This window comes from Homo sapiens, chromosome X, assembly GCF_000001405.40.
Source record: "Homo sapiens chromosome X, GRCh38.p14 Primary Assembly".
Taxonomy (NCBI): Eukaryota; Metazoa; Chordata; class Mammalia; order Primates; family Hominidae; genus Homo; species Homo sapiens.
This window is the reverse complement of record NC_000023.11, coordinates 8,552,401-8,569,238: the sequence shown is the minus strand read 5'-3', so window position 1 is coordinate 8,569,238 and position 16,838 is coordinate 8,552,401. Positions and strand designations below refer to the sequence as shown.

Sequence of the window (16,838 nt, the reverse complement as noted above, 5' to 3'; positions counted from 1 at the left end):
TTAGGAATCTAGAGCAAAAAGTGACATGATGAAATGCTGACAGGTCCCACCCTCCAGCCCCCTGCCCAATACATTATGACAGAAAATAATGAAGCACCTTGAAGCATTTTGTCAAGTTAATTTTTCTTTTGTATAGCTTTTGGTGGAAATTTGCTCCTAGAAAATTTAGAACAGATATCAAAGAATTGCAATTAGTGCCAATTCATAATTTTTCCATGTATGTGGCAACATAGATCTCTGTTACTTTATTATAAACAGCTCCCTTTCCTTCGAGAGGTGGTGTCTCAGAGTGGCGAGGGCTCAGAATGATTTATTTCCATGGTATCTGAGACCAATAATTGGTTTAGAAACAGTATTTCAAAATACATTTGGCCTTTCTATGAAGTTTATTTTTATTTTTTATTTCATTATATTTTTTGAGACAGGGTCTCACTCTGTTGCCCAGGCTGGAGTGCAGTGGTGCGATCACAGCTCACTGCAGCCACAACCTCCTGGGTTCAATCTTCTCACCTCAGCCTCCTGAGTAGCTGGAACTACAAGTGCACACCACCATGCCCAATTAATTTTTTTTGTAGAGACAGTCTTGCTATGTTGCCCAGGTAGTCTCAAACTCCTGGGCTCAAGCGATCCTCCCACCTCGGGCTCCCAAAGTGCTGGGATTGCAGTCAGGAGCCACCGCACCTGGCCTGAAGTTTATTTTGATCAGTAGTAAAACTGAATTTTCAGATCCCAAAGATATAGAAAAGTTGGTAAAAGAAATCAGAAGTTGGCATGCTTCATAATGACACACGAGATTTTGCAATGAAGATGAGAGACGTGGAAGGTTTGTAACGCATTTTGGGTATATTCTCTTAATTTCTAGTTTCAAAATTCTGTGATCCTGGAGAAACTCCAGCCAGACTGTGACTATGTTGTGGAATTGCAAGCCATAACGTACTGGGGACAGACACGGCTGAAGAGTGCAAAGGTGTCCCTTCACTTCACATCGACACATGCAACCAACAACAGTAAGTGACTGTGTCATGTTTTTCAAGATGATTGTGACATGATGGGCGCCATATCACAACAAGGCACAATGGAGGGAGAGTGAGTTTTTGATTTGGAATAATTATATGGCAAATCTTCTTACCCACATGCATGTGACTAAAGTATTTAAACTACGACATACGAAACAGTTTGACTTTTGAATTCTTTCTTATGGTTTTTATCTATTGTAGGTGCAATTTTGGTGTTGTAATGGAAATTTAAGAAAACTTATTGTGTCTCATTTTAACAGATTGACTGTTTTTATGTTTACATGACGTGCACATATGCATTCTGCATACTTGTTTTTCAGGAGATTACGTACAGTTAAACTGTTATAACTTGATGTTATTTCTGCTTCCACTGTTTCTGTAATTGTTGTTGTTGTTGTTTTGTTTTGTTTTGTTTTGTTTGGTATTTTTGAGACAGAGTCTAGCTCTGTCACCCAGGCTGGAGTGCAATGGCGTGATCTCAGCTCACTGCAACCTTTGCCTCCCGGGTTCAAGCGGTTCTCCTGCCTCAGTCTCCTGAGTAGCTGGGATTACAGGCGTGCACCACCATGCCTGGCTAATTTCTGTATTTTTAGTAGAGACAGGGTTTCACCATGTTGGCCAGGCTGGCCTCGAGCTCCTGACCTCAGGTGGTCCACCTGCCTCGGCCTCCCAAAGTGCTGGGATTACAGTGTTTCTCTAGTTCTGTATACAATACACTTATTTTTGTGCAATTGTTTTACATATTTATCTCCCAAATCAAAGTTGGGCACTTTTGAAGGCAGAGACCAAAATAAATCATAGTACTGAGAATAATGTGTTTGTATGTACGCGAGTGGATAGGGGGCACAAAAAGTGGTGTGGCATGCCTGTTTTTCCTAGTACTACACAGTGGTCATAATTACTGCTTGAAAGGTTACTTAATACTCCATTGAGTGAAGTTACTAAATCATTCTCATATTGCTTTTCCTTGTTTCTTTTTTTCTTACCTAGTATGTTAGTATGTTTGCTGGGAACTGAGCAAAACAATAGAAGAGTCTTTCTTATATGACACTCATATCTTAGAGAATAAGTTACTTGATGTTTCTGGCTTTGTTCAAACGTCGATACCGGTTAGAACTGCCATGCAGGGGCTCCTAGCAAGGTTTCAGGAAACTGGGACAAATTAAATGAGAGTAGGAGGGAGGAGGCGTTTGTCGCAGGGGCTCCTCCGATGTTGATTTTTTAGGCTAGCAGGACCCCGTCATCATAGCTGCCTTTGATCAGGACAGTGGGCCTTGTTCAGAAGGAGAAGAAGAATGTGTTAAACATTTGTCTGAATTTAGGAAAGGCAATGCTGGTCCTGCAGAGTGAGACACAGGGGTTGCTCATAATTACCTTCCACCCCTGGGAAAACGTAGGATCCAAATGGGCAGGTTTGTTTGAAATAATGCTTCAAAAAATGGTCCAGAAACAGAGATTTCTATCTGTTTGAGAAATAGTCTCTTTGGAGATTAAATGGACTTGAAATGGTCAATTTTTATGTGAGTCTCGGTACAATATAAATTTTACCTAAAAGTTCTCATGGAAATATGTTTAGTAACCTCATTCATTTTTAATCCATTCATCCATCTACCCATCGCATTGAAATTGTGTGCCTATGAATTATGACATCACTGTGTCTAATGCCAGGAATACTATATTATATATACACTATATACTGTAATACACTATATACACTATATATACGTACTGTATAGCAATATGTTCCATAATTTTCTATAAATAGTATGCACATAGGTATATATGTACACATATGCATACATATACACATGTGTCTACAAATATACACAAACACGCACATAACTATACACACATACATACTCATACACACACACACACACACATATATACACACACATACATTATTCCTAGCACGATGATGTATTTTGGTTTCTGCCTTAAAAGTGCCTAATTTTGAATTTGGGAGATAAATATGTAAAATAATAACAAAGATCTGTGTGTTGCATACAGACAGAACTACAGGAAACAGTGGAAGCAGAAATGACCAACATGGAGTTGGGGAATGAGAGTCACATCATCCCTCATGAAGTCCTGAAGAGTGAGCGATCTGCAGGCCCACAAGGAATGGACATCATTCCACACAAACGCAGCAGCGTGGATGAGTGTAGAGAGTTAGAGAAGCGCATTGCATGGGCAGAGAACTCAGCGTGAGGAAAGAATGAAGGTGGATGGGCCACTGGTCTCTCCCCTGGAGGTCTCATTGAGTTGCAAGGATTTAACCACCATCTGTGTGCTAATGACTCCCTGCCCTCCCACCCTGACCACTCTTTGAACTCCAGAGTCCTGCATTCAGCCACCCACTTAGCACCTCCCCTTGGATGGCTTGCAGATATTTCAAATAAAACGTTCAAACACAAGCTCTGGATTTTCGCCCATACCTGTTCCTCTCCTGGGCTCGCCTATCTCAGTAAATGGCACCAACATTCACCCTTTTGCTCAAGCCAAACATGCAGAAGTCATTCTTCATTTTTCTCTGTTTTTTCTCTCCAGAAATTCAATTCTTCAGAAAGTCCTTTTGTCTCTAATTTTAAATTCCATATGGAATCTGTCCAGTTCTTTCGCTTGTTCACGCTATTGTCTTTTCTTTCCTATAAATTGAAATAGTCTCCTAATTAGTATTATGTTTCTGCTCTTTCTTAAATATCTATTCTTTGTAAAGAGCAGTCAAAGTTTTCTTTAGAAAATATCAGCGTAGTTACAGATCTCTCTCTTTTTGGAGTTCCACTCTCAAGACAGCTACCTAGTTATCTTCAATTCTCTCTTTCCCCAAAACTTCATCCTTCACTATATTCTTCTATATTCCTTACCAACCCCCTTCTCAGGCCAAAATCCTTTAAACTTCAGCTTCATGCAAGAGCTGTCTTTCTCTACTGGTGGTGGAGATTTCATCTATTGTATAAAATAAGCATGTCTTTTAGTCTCCTGGTTCTTCCAATAAACAACATTCTTTCCCCATTAGAAACTGGTATGGGATTGCAAATTCCCATAATTTAATATCTGTTAATTTCCAGAACCAAAAGCAAGGAGAAAAAAAGTCCGACTTCAACTTGTCCTTGTTGAGGTTACATTATCTAGAGCCTTGTCATGGTCCAGCCCACAGACAAAACTTTTATGGAACCCTGGATCTCTGTAGCATATCCACAGCTTCTTCACCCTTCCTGGGGCATCCCCACACAACCCTGTAACTCAGGGAGATATTCTTTAATTAGCTTCTTCTGCTACCCTCTCAAGTATGATTATAAACCTTTTTCTCTCCTTTGAGCCACATTGCACATGGAGTGCACAGTCCCTAAATCCCTTCCTCTCAGTAAGCCATGCGGTTCCCCATAAATATAAACATATCTATTACATGGAGTACACAGTCTAGTCTAAATCCCTTCCTCTCAGTAAGCCATGCGGTTCCCCATAAATATAAACATATCTATTCTTATGTCCATGTTTATCTTCTCCTGTCTTCTGTATTCTAAGGTGGAGGCACCCTTCCTTCTGCATGTGGTGGACTTCACCATGCAGTTTCTAGACCCATTCCTCCCCAACTCAGATACCTGCATCCACTGAAGTCAAATCTCATCTACATCAGAGACCATGGATTATCTACATATGTGGTCACAGTATCCGTCATAATCCCTGGCATATAAACACGGCAACAAAAATATTTTTGAAACCAAGTTAATTAGTTATTCCCTCATTTGCCTACAACCTCAGCCTATTCCTCTCCACTGGCTTGATCTGCTCAGCTTCCAGTTCTAAAGCAAACCTTTCATTGATGCTGGTTTCATTCTAGCTACCATCTTATCTTTCTCCTTTCCACATTTTTTCTCAAGTTTCTGCAATCTATTTTTCAATCTCACTTTTCCACCAAATCTGCCCCTGCTAATTTCTAAGTCTGATGGATGTTTTCCATTGTAATTTTATTGACCATTTCTGATGAGTTTGTCCTTGTTTAACTACACTTTCCCCATTGTTACATCTTGACCCTTGTATGTTTGACTCCCAGATGTCTTAATTTTTCTCATACCTCAGTTTCCTTGTAGGATCTCCTGCCTCCATCCGGCTCTTGGACATTGGAGCTCTCCAGGGTTCTACCTTATCTGCTCTGACAACTTAGTCACTACCTACTCATGGTCCATTCTCAATGACTCAGCTCCAGCCTTGATTTCTCCACTAATACCAGATGTCTGTAGCCTGTCATTCCCTGTATCTGAATGTCACACAGGCATCTCAACCTCAACATACTCCACATTGAACTCACTCCCTCCACTTACAAAGCTCGATGTTCTCATGTATCTCTGGTCTCCATTGAGGTTACTACTGACCAGAAACTTGGGAGACTTCCTTTTACCACTTTCTGTTCACTTCAGTTTGTTTCTAGGTCCTGCAATTATTTCAGGACCCACAGGTTTCTTGAATTTTCCAGGAACATAGTAAGAGCTCAGTAAATTGACTGCAACTCAGCTGAATGCAACTGTCTTTCCATTCAACCAGCTCTGTGCCACACTCTAACACGACAGCTTTCTTAAGCTTTCATCTGCTACGGTCATAAATACTAAAGGGGAAGAGAGAAAGAAATGGCTTTTGGTGTCATCTTGGAACAACCAAGGTTGGACATCTTTTACAAGCCATTTGCATATTTTAACTGTGTCCTCCAAGAGTTTGTGTTTTCACTTGGTTGACTATTCCAAAGGAATTATCTTTACCAGTGAGAGTTTTTAGCCAGGTGGGGAGACACTAGAATTATGGCAGTTAAATGAACAAAACAGGCAGTTAAATGAAAGAAATCTATTTGACCGGTTGATTCCCTGTGTTAAGGTCCTTTGCTAATTATCTTTTAAAACTAGGTAATACTTTAGCTGACCAATTAAAAGATAGGGTAGTTAATTAAGAGATATGGTAGTTAACCTATCAAAGACCACTTTATTCTCAGGACTGATTCCTCTTACATAGATTAGAAAAGGAATAAAAGAAAAGTAAGAAAAAAGAAGTCATAGTGCAAAGTACCTATAGTAACACACATTGTTTGGGTCTCAGGTGATTCCACAGAAGAGATTGACTTTTCAACGGATTATGTAGGATACAGTTGAATGTTTGTCAGGATTTTATATCCCAGTGTTGATATATAATCTCATAAACACTAGTCTGTGACTTTTATAAGAACATTATATATTTCATCATGAACCAACTAGAAGTAAAGAATAATTACAACGTTACAGTATAAGCAAGGGAAATTACATTTTATAGGAAGGAGAGTAGTAAATGTCACTATATAAATTACTTTTTGAATTATATTTTTCCAGGTCTGCAGGCTGCTAGGTGTTTTAATGATAAACATTTCTATTCAAGTGAAGGCTGAATGTTCATGCAGTTTTATGAAACAATCCCTTGAAGGAAGTATGATATAACATTGTCTTTAATGGAAAGGTAGCTTGCTTCTTTGAAGGCAGGAGGAATATTTTCAAGTTTGACAGGTTCCAAATGTTTTATAGTTGCCTCATGGAACTGGAATTATTTTCTGGCTCTCCAGAACAAGAATAGATGGGAGAGAAAATACTCTGAATCTCTTGATGATCTATAAAATTAATCAAAACTTGGATCTTTGAAAAATAGTGTACATATTTTATTTTCTTAATTTCTATGACTATCGAGTGTAAATCAGACATCATAACTTTTTCAGAATATTGTAGATATGATATTCCATTTTTGCTTATTACTGAAAGTGGAGGAGACATTCTTATAAAGTCAGGGTCATACTGCTAGCATTGTAGTATGCACCTTATCTGTTTTTTACCCATGGCGTGTGTCAGCAACACTAATTGTTGGTGGATTTCTCTTCTTGAATCATTTTAATAAAGCAACAATGGTTCAATCTTAAGATATATAAAAATATGTTTTTACATCTATAATTAAATACTAAAGTTTGCCTAGGGCTGGGCGCGGTAGCTCACGCCTGTAATCCCAGCACTTTGGGAGGCCAAGATGGGCAGATCACTTGAGGTCAGGAGTTCAAGACCAGCCTGGCCAACATGGTAAAACCCCATCTCTACTAAAAATACAAAAATTAGCCGGCCATGGTGATGCGTGCCTGTAGTCCCAGCTACTCAGGAGGCTGAGGCACGAGAATGGCTTGAACCCGGGAGGCGGAGGTTGCAGTGAGCCGAGATCATGCCAGTGCACTCCACTACAGCTTGGGCGACAGAGTGAGACTCTGTTTAAAAAACAAAAAAAAGAAAGAAAGAAAGAAAAAGTTTGCCTAGGATATAAAGCAAGTAGGAAGACAAGATTGACATTGAGCTTAAACCTAGTATCTAAACACAGTATCTATCTAAACTGATTATCTGTCCTAGTTATCTGCTGGTGAGTTCTCAATATTATCACAGATTATTAGAAACATAAATGGGTTTGTGAAACTCTTAGATCCTGGCTGGGCACAGTAGCTCATGCCTATAATCCCAGCAATTTGGGAGGTCAAGGTGGGAGGATTGCTTGAGGCCAGGAGTTGGAAACCAGCCTGGGCAACATAGTGAGACTGTGTCTCTTAAAAAAAATTAGCCGGCTGGGCGCGGTGGCTCACGCCTGTAATCCCAGCACTTTGGGAGGCCGAGTCGGGTGGATCACAAGGTCAGGAGATCGAGACCATCCTGGCTAACATGGTGAAACCCCATCTCTACTAAAAATACAAAAAAAAAAAAAAAAAAAAAATTAGCCGGGCATGGTGGTGAGCGCCTGTAGTCCCAGCTACTCTGGAGGCTGAGGCAGGAGAATGGCATGAACTCGGGAGGCAGAGCTTGCAGTGAGCCGAGATCGCACCACTGCACTCGAGCCTGGGTGACAAAGCGAGACTCCGTCTCAAAAAAAATTAAAATAAAATAAAATAAAATAAATGATTCTCAGTTATCCACACATTGATTTGAACTCTTTAAGCTAAAATAGCCTAAATGCGAATCTAACAAATGTGCGTTTTTATTTTCCTTTCATCTGGTCCGTTGGATAGACAATTCATTGGGCATGCCAGTGTCAGGAAAAATTGAGTTGATGTAGATTATCTTCTGGGGTCCACAGCTTTCCTTGACTGATCTTGTCTTACCGCAGGTTGGGCATGTTCTCTCCATCTCATCTTTCTGTCTTCCTCTCACCTGCCCAAGAATGCAAACCTCACTGCTTTTATTAGAAGAGTTTCGATAACACATTGTTTATAGGCATAAAATCAACACAGCTTACCCTTTTATCTCTCAGAGGGCTATTTGAAATTCAGAAAGCAGAAAAGTCTTGCATCAAAGGGCAGAATTTCTATGTATGCAACCTCTAAATTCAGTGAGTGGATGAGGGAGAAATTTGGGGCCTAAGGAAATTTTTGGTGTCTTAATTATTAAACCATATAAATGGGTGCTCTGTAAGACTCAGTACATGGTGATGGAAACAGAAGTTTGGCATGGGATGGCCCTGGGATTAAATTTCACCTTCACTCTTTGAATTATGTGAAACTGGATACAATTCTTAGTATTTTTGAGCGCTGGTTTTTTCGTCTTCAGTGTATACCAATTCCTCTTTCTCAGGGGTCTGCAAACTATGGCCCACAGGCCAAATCCAGCCCCCTCCTGGTTTTGTAAATAAGACTTTATTGGCACAGGGTCACATTTGCTTACATGTCATTTATATATCATGTCCGGCTGTTTGGGGGGTACAACAGTAATTGAGTAGTTGGGAGAGAGACCAGTCTGCAAAACCAAAATCATTTACCATATGATGCACAGAACCAAAAATATTTACTATCTGGCCATTTAAGAAAAGTTTAGTTTACTGACCCCTGCTTAATTTCATAGGATGGCTCTATGAATATAAATTAGTGTCAAAATTCACCACCCCAACCAAGCCCCCCAGGAACACACCTGGAGTCAAAAGTGAGGTTTAGTGGCATGTACCTATACTGCTAACTACTTAGGGGGCTCAGGTGGGAGGATCACTTGAGCCAGAAGTTTGAGACCAATCTGGGCAATGGTGGGAAACCCTGTTTCCAAAGAAAAACAAATATTAGGTTTATTGCCCTTTCTGCAACATGTTTGAATCTCATGTTAAAGGATTACTGTATTGACGTAAATAAAACACCCCGAATAGCCCCAGGCAAATGAGCATTTGGTAATATATTTGGTATAAACAGCCATCAATTCATAATTTTATTTATTTCATTTCATCCAATACATATTAGGCAGCTACCATGTGCGTGTTTCTGAGCTAGGCAGTTGCCATCCAAGGAAGATTAGGATGAGCTCTGTTTTGTAGAGGACTTCTGGGTTGAGTTTGAGGAACAAATTAAAGAAGAAAAAAATTACTTAAAACTGAAAAAATACAGGAACACAAAAGAGTGGTGTGTTTTGATTCACTCTGGAAAATCTTCACCAGGGAGAGCCTCTGAGAAGTTTTCATGGGCAAAGAAGGTTGACAGAAACAAGTAGTGCTGGTCCATTCTGAGCTAAAGCAATCAGAATTATAGATACAAAGAAAACCAGCAGGTTTGGGGAATTAGGAATGGCACAAGAGAGAAAGATACAGCTAAATTAAAACAAAATAATAAAAAGCAAACTAAAACTGGAGTCAGATCATGACTCTACACAACAACACAGTAAGAAATGACCTAGGCTAAGAATGAAATCTTGAACTACCTGATTCAAAGATATATTTAATGGTGTTTTGATTTATAGTAGCATATCTCTATCTTCCACTGGATATGGGATACGTAGGGCTTGGAATCCTTCTTGTTCAGTTTTGTGGTGTCCTACGTTGCAACGAATATGTGTTGAATACACTTTTAATGGACAATAGGGAAAAAAAAGTTCATGCTTTTAATAATGAACATGTGAACATACTCTCGCCTCATCTTTCATGAAGTGTCCTGGTTTCTTCACAAAATACCACGTCACATGGCACCAGTTATATTCCCATGGCTCCATTCCTCAGAAAACTTGTGGCCACTTTTTCGAAGAACAGAAACAGTGGCTGGTCAGACTGATGCTCTTCTACTGGGCAGATGCCTTTGGTCAAGCTCACTGCCGGTGCACCATCATTAGAGCAGATTTGCCTGGTGGTATTTCAGGAGTCCCTCAGGTACAAAAACTTTATCTCTGCAACTCCTAGCTCAATGCCTGGCTCTTGGGAAGTGCTCAGAATTGCTGACAGAAAGAGCTAATTACTGCCAGAAAGAGCTAATTACTGAATGGGTTCTTGTATTCCATTACCCAACCTGATGTACTGTTGCCTTTGCATTTCATTTCATTTACTGGATATTTTAAAGTTTCATTTCAATGTCTGTCAGAATTTGGATGTCTGTCACTAATCTGAATGGCACACAGATTGGTTGCTGAGTGATGAAGCTGAAGTTGGCATTGTCAACTGAGTAGGTGCAATTTGCTCCTTACTATTTATTTGACAAAGCTGAACCGTATTTCCGTTTAGAGCCCTGCACCAAGTATTGATGTATAATGCTCATACTTCCACATTACGTATAGGTTTTCCACGAAAACCTATCTACTTTTTTCACGAAATGGTATTGTAATATTATTTTATTTTCCTCATAACTATAAAAAATCTATAATGAGAAATATTATTCATACTTATTATTTACATTGGAGCATCTTTCAAGCCTGGTGAATATATGTTACTTACCAAATTAAATACTGGGGATTATATGTAATATACTTTTAGTATTCCAGTGGATTTTGAAGGGGGGGTTCATTAACTTGAACATGAAAGAACATGCGGTTACACCACCTTTTACTTAAAAAAAAAACAGACAGTTAATATGACTAAATAACAGGATGAAATGAAGTACACTGGGACTAATATCAGGTTATATAATAATGAAGTTGTGGGATACATGTGCAGAACATGCAGGTTTGTTAACATAGGTATACATGTGCCATGGTGGTGTGCTGCACCCATCAACTCGTCATCTACATTAGGTATTTCTCCTAACACTGTCCCTCCCCTTGCCCCCCACCCCCAACAGGCCCTGGTGTGTGATGTTCCCCTCCCTGTGCTCATGTGTTCTCATTGTTCAACTCCCACTTATGAGTGAGAACATTCGGTGTTTAGTTTTCTGTTCCTGCGTTAGTTTGCTGAGAATTGTGGTTTCCAGCTTCATCCATGTCCCTGCAAAAGACATGAACTCATTCCTTTATATGGCTACATAGTATTCCATGGTGTGTATGCCACATTTTCTTTATCCAGTCTATCATTGATGGGAATTTGGGTTGGCACCAAGTCTTTGCTATTGTGAATAGTGCTGCAATAAACATATGTGTGCATGTGTTTTATAGTAGAATGATTTAAAATCCTTTGGGTATACATCCAATAATGAGATTGCTGGGTCAAATGGTATTTCTAGTTCTAGATCCTTGAGGAATTGCCACACTGTCTTCCACAATGGTTGAACTAATTTACACTCCCACCAACAGTGCAAAAGCCTTCCTATTTCTCCATATCCTCTCCAGCATCTGTTGTTTCCTGACTTTTGAATGATCGCCATTCTAACTGGCATGAGATGGTATCTAATTGTGGTTTTGATTTGCATTTCTCTAATGACCAGTGATGGTGAGCTTTTTTTCATACGTTTATTGGCCGCATAAATGTCTTCTTTTGAGAAGTGTCTGTTCATATCCTTTGCCCACTTTTTGATGGAGTTGTTTGTTTTTTTCTTGTAAATTTATTTGTTTCCTGTAGATTCTGGATATTATTAGCCCTTTGACAGATGGATAGATTGCAAAAATTTTCTCCCATTCTGTAGTTGCCTGTTCACTCTGATGCTAGTTTCTTTTGCTGTGCAGAAGCTCTTTAGTTTAATTAGATCCCATTTGTCAACTTTGGCTTTTGTTGCAATTGCTTTTGGTGTTTTAGTCATGAAGTCTTTGCCCATGCCTATGTCCTGAATGGTATTGCCTAGGTTTTCTTCTAGTGTTTTTATGGTTTTAGGTCTAACATTTAAATCTTTAATCCATCTTGAGTTAAGTTTTGTATAAGGTGAAAGGAAGGGACCCAGTTTCAGTTTTCTGCATATGGCTAGTCAGTTTTCCCAGCACCGTTTATTAAATAGGGAATCCTTTCCTTATTGCTTTTGTCAGGTTTGTCAAAGATCAGATGGTTGTAGATGTGTGGTGTTATTTCTGAGGCCTCTGTTCTGTTCCATTGGTCTATATATCTGTTTTGTTACCAGTACCATGCTGTGTTGGTTACTGTAGCCTTGTAGTGTAGTTTGAAATCAGGTAGCATGATGCCTCCAGCTTTGTTCTTTTTGCTTAGGATTGTCTTGGCTATATGGACTCTTTTTTGGTTCCATATAAAATTTAAAGTAGTTTTTTCTAATTCTGTAAAGAAAGTCAATGGTAGCTTGATGGGAATAGCATTGAATCTATAAATTACTTTGGGTAGTATGTCCATTTTCACGATATTGATTCTTCCTATCCATGTGCATGGAATGTTTTTCCATTTGTTTGTGTCCTCTCTTATTTCCTTGAGCAGTGGTTTGTAGTTCTCCTTGAAGAGGTCCTTCACAGCCCTTGTAAGTTGGATTCCTAGGTATTTTATTGTCTTTGTAGCAACTGTGAATGGGAGTTCACTCATGATTTGGCTCTCTGTCTGTTATTGGTGTATAGGAATGCTTGTGATTTTTGCACATTGATTTTGTATCCTGAGACTTTGCTGAAGTTGCTTATCAGCTTAAGGAGATTTTGGGCTGAGATGATAGGGTTTTCTAAATATACAATCATGTCATCTGCAAACAGAGACAATTTGACTTCCTCTCTTCCTATTTGAATACCTTTATTTCTTTCTCTTGCCTGATTGCCCTGGCCAGAACTTCCAATACTATGTTGAATAGGAGTGGTGAGAGAGGGCATCCTTGTCTTGTGCCAGTTTTCAAAGGGAATGCTTCTGGCTTTTCCCCATTCAGTATGATATTGGCTGTGGGTTTGTCATCAATAGCTCTTATTATTTTGAGATACGTTCCATCAATACCTAGTTTATTGAGAGTTTTTAGGCATGAAGCGGTGCTGAATTTTATTGAAGGCCTTTTCTGCATCTATTGAGATAATCATGTGTTTTTTGTCATTGGTTCTGTTTATGTGATGGATTGTGTATGTTGAACCAGCCTTGCATCCCAGGGATGAAGCCAACTTGATCGTGATGGATAAACTTTCTGATGTGCTGCTGGATTCGGTTTGCCAGTATTTTATTGAGGATTTTCACATCAATGTTCATCAGGGATATCGGCCTGAAATTTTCTTTTTTTGTTGTATCTCTGCCAGGTTTTGGTATCAGCATGATGCTGACCTCATAAAATGAGTTAGGGAGGAGTCCCTCTTTTTCTATTGTTTGGAATAGTTTTAGAAGGAATGATACCAGCTCCTGTTTGTATCTCTGGTACAATTCAGCTGTGAATCTGTCTGGTCCTGGGCTTTTTTTGGTTGGTAGGCTATTATTCAGAGATTCAACTTCTTCCTGGTTTAGTCTTGGGAGGGTGTATGTGTCCAGGAGTTTATCCATTTCTTCTAGATTTTCTAGTTTATTTGCATAGAGGTGTTTGTAGTATTCTCTGATGGTAGTTTGTACTTCTGTGGGATCATTAGTGATATCCCCTTTATCATTTAATATTGTGTCTATTTGATTCTTCTCTCTTTTCTTCTTTATTAGTCTGGCTAGTAGTCTATCTGTTTTGTTAATGTTTTCAAAAAACCAGCTTCTGGATTCATTGATTTTTGGAAGGGTTTTTTGTGTCTCTATCTCCTTCAGTTCTCCTCTGATCTTAGTTATTTCTTGTCTTCTGCTGGCTTTTGAATTTGTTTGCTCTTGCTTCTCCAGTTCTTTTAATTGTGATGTTAGGGTGTCGATTTTAGATCTTCCCCGCTTTCTCCTGTGGGCATTTCGTGCTATAAATTTCCCTCTAAACGCTGCTTTAGCTGTGTCCCAGTGATTCTGGTACATTGTGTCTTTGTTCTCATTGGTTTCAAAAAACTTATTTATTTCTGCCTGAATTTCATTATTTACCCAGTAGTCATTCAGGAGCATATTGTTCAGTTTCCATGTAGTTGTATGGTTTTGAGTGGCTTTCTTAATCCTGAGTTCTAATTTGATTGCACTGTGGTCTGAGAGACTGTTTGTTATGATTTCCATTCTTTTGCATTTGCTGAGGAATATTTTACTTCCAATTACATGGTCAATTTTAGAATAAGTGCTATATGGTGCTGAGAAGAATGTATATTCTGTTGATTTGTGGTGGAGAGTTCTGTAGATGTCTATTAGGTGCACTTGGTCCAGAGCTGAGTTCAAGTCCTGAATGTTCTTGTTAATTTTCTGTCTCATTGATCTGTCTAATATTGACAATGGAGTGTTAAAACCTCCCACTATTATTGTGTGGGAGTCTAAGTGTCTTTGTAGGTCTCTAAGAACACGCTTTATGAATCGGGATGCTCCTGTATTGGTGGCATATATATTTATTTTAGCTCTTCTTGTTGCATTGAACCCTTTACCATTATATATTCCCCTTCTTTGTCTCTTTTGATCTTTGTTGGGCGACAGAGCGAGACTCCATCTAAAACAACAACAACAACAAAAAAAAAAAAAAAAAAAAAAAAAAAACTCCTGTAGCCAGCTCTGTGTCTGCCCAAATGGCCTCCCAGTTTTGCACTTGAAACTCAGGGGCCTGGCGGTGTAGGCACCCGAGGGAATCTCCTGGTCTGCCAATTGCGAAGACAGTGGGAAAAGCGTAGTTATCTGTGCTGGATAGCACTGTCCCTCACTCACGGCTTCCCTTGGCTAGGGGAGGGAGTTCTCCAACCACTTGTGCTTCCTGGGTGAGGCAACGCCCCACCCTGCTTCTGCTCGCCCTCCATGGGCTGCACCCACTGTCTAACCAGTCCTAATGAGATGAGCCGGTACCTCCGTTGGAAATAGAGAAATCACCCGCCTTCTGTGTTGTTCTCGCTGGAAGCTGCATAATGGAGCTGTTCCTATTTGGCCATCTTGCCCAGGAATCTATAATTACTTTTAACAAGTAACTTAGAATGTTGTACTTTGTTGTAGAAGAACAGCTTGTGAAAACTAGAAAAGGTGGAATTCAAACACAACTCCCTTTTCAAAGACGACGACCCACTCGCCCGCTGGAAGTCGGAGCTCCCTTCTATCAGGATGGCCAACTGCAAGTTAAAGTCTACTGGAAGAAGACAGAAGGTACATAAACATTACTTACTTATTTCTTACTTGCTTTAAACAGCACAGTAATATAGAGATAGTTTTGAAGAAGTAAATGTCAAGCCACAGTATCAATACTAAGGCAAACGGTTGTTGAACACAAGTCTGAATGAGTTGACGGTTATCTCACATCTTGAAATCTACAACAGTCAATTGCTTAAATATTTTCCTTTCAGGGATATTAGCTTGTCTTCATTTCTTTCCCAGAGGGCTGATTGGCTGATGTTATATCCAAAACACTCAAAATATTCATTATTTTGAGCTGTAATTTTTGTTATAAATTATTAATTATTATTTTTTAAAGATCCATAATACAAATAATTTAGAAAGTAGGGGGGGAAAGTCACCTATTATCTCAATATCATTTCCTGAAACAGCACTTTGGTGGGTTTCCTTTCAGAAATTTTCTATGCATCTGTCTTTCACTCAGTTAGGGTGTGTGTGTGTGAGTGTGTTTTTAAAACATACACACATATTTCTGTGTAACATTGTTTGAGCTGCTATATTGTCATGCATTTTTCATAACATTCTATAAATGCTACTTTGTATGGGTATATCTTAATATCATAATACATGTCATTATTCCAGTACAATGAAACATTTCAGTTCTTTAGAATTTCTGTTTTCTAATTAAGGCTGCAATACATTTATCCTTAGGATAGATTCATTTCATTTGTTTGAACATTTATCTTTAGCATAAATTCTTTTTGTTTATTTTTTTTTTTAGTCTTAGAATATTTGTTTTTCTGTTATCAAGGTGGTACTTTTAGAATTTATTCAACATACAGTCTTTTATCTTTATCACTCTTATGCCTCTTAAAAACATAAGCAGAATAGATTGTTTCAAGAGTTAGGTTTTTAAAATTCTCCTCACTCCTCTGAAATTCACTTTTACTCAAGGTATTGATGGGCCATGTGCCATAAGCAATATTGGTGTTGGAGTGGTTCCTATTCCAGGATTTTCTTTCAAGCTGCTGAAATCCATTCTGCAAGTAAAATAATATTATTATTAATATTAACATATTTTATTTCTATAATGTTAATTAAAGTTTATTCAACATTTATTGCATTAAGATTATATTATGTCTATATTACAGTTAATAATTTTATAAATATTAAATAAGAAAAGTATTTGATCTATTATATTGATTAATTAAAATATCAACATATTCATATTTAAAAAATAACATTTTATTAATATTAAAATTTTAAACATAATGTAATAAAATGAAAATGTAAACATCTACTATTGAAAAAGTAAATATCTCAAGCATACAAGAGTAACCACCACCATCCTGACTTTTAAAACTCAATATTTGTTTTGCCTGTATTTGAAATTTATCAGAATGGAATCACTCAATTTCTATTTGTATTTGGCTTCTTGCCATGAGCATTTTATGAGAAACCAATGCATTCTGTTGCATGAAACAATTCATTCATTTATATTGCTGCCTGGATGTCCTTAGTATACATCAATCTGTGTATCCTTTCAGCTGTGGATGGAGATTTACTTATTCAGATGTGGAGCTA

At 38.5% G+C, this 16,838-nt stretch overlaps 1 protein-coding gene across 2 annotated transcripts in view; it reads left to right on the top strand.

Moving 5' to 3' along the window:
- ANOS1 (anosmin 1) overlaps positions 1–16,838 on the top strand; it is a 203,264-nt gene that overhangs the window by 162,899 nt on the left and 23,527 nt on the right. The window contains exons 8-9 of one of the 2 annotated variants that reach the window (NM_000216.4): positions 863–1,007; positions 15,141–15,287. In NM_000216.4, coding sequence (NP_000207.2) covers positions 863–1,007; positions 15,141–15,287 — 292 coding nt within the window. Of the gene's footprint in view, positions 1–862; positions 1,008–3,026; positions 3,434–15,140; positions 15,288–16,838 lie in introns of those variants that run through there. The other variant, NM_001440775.1, reaches the window with a different exon arrangement.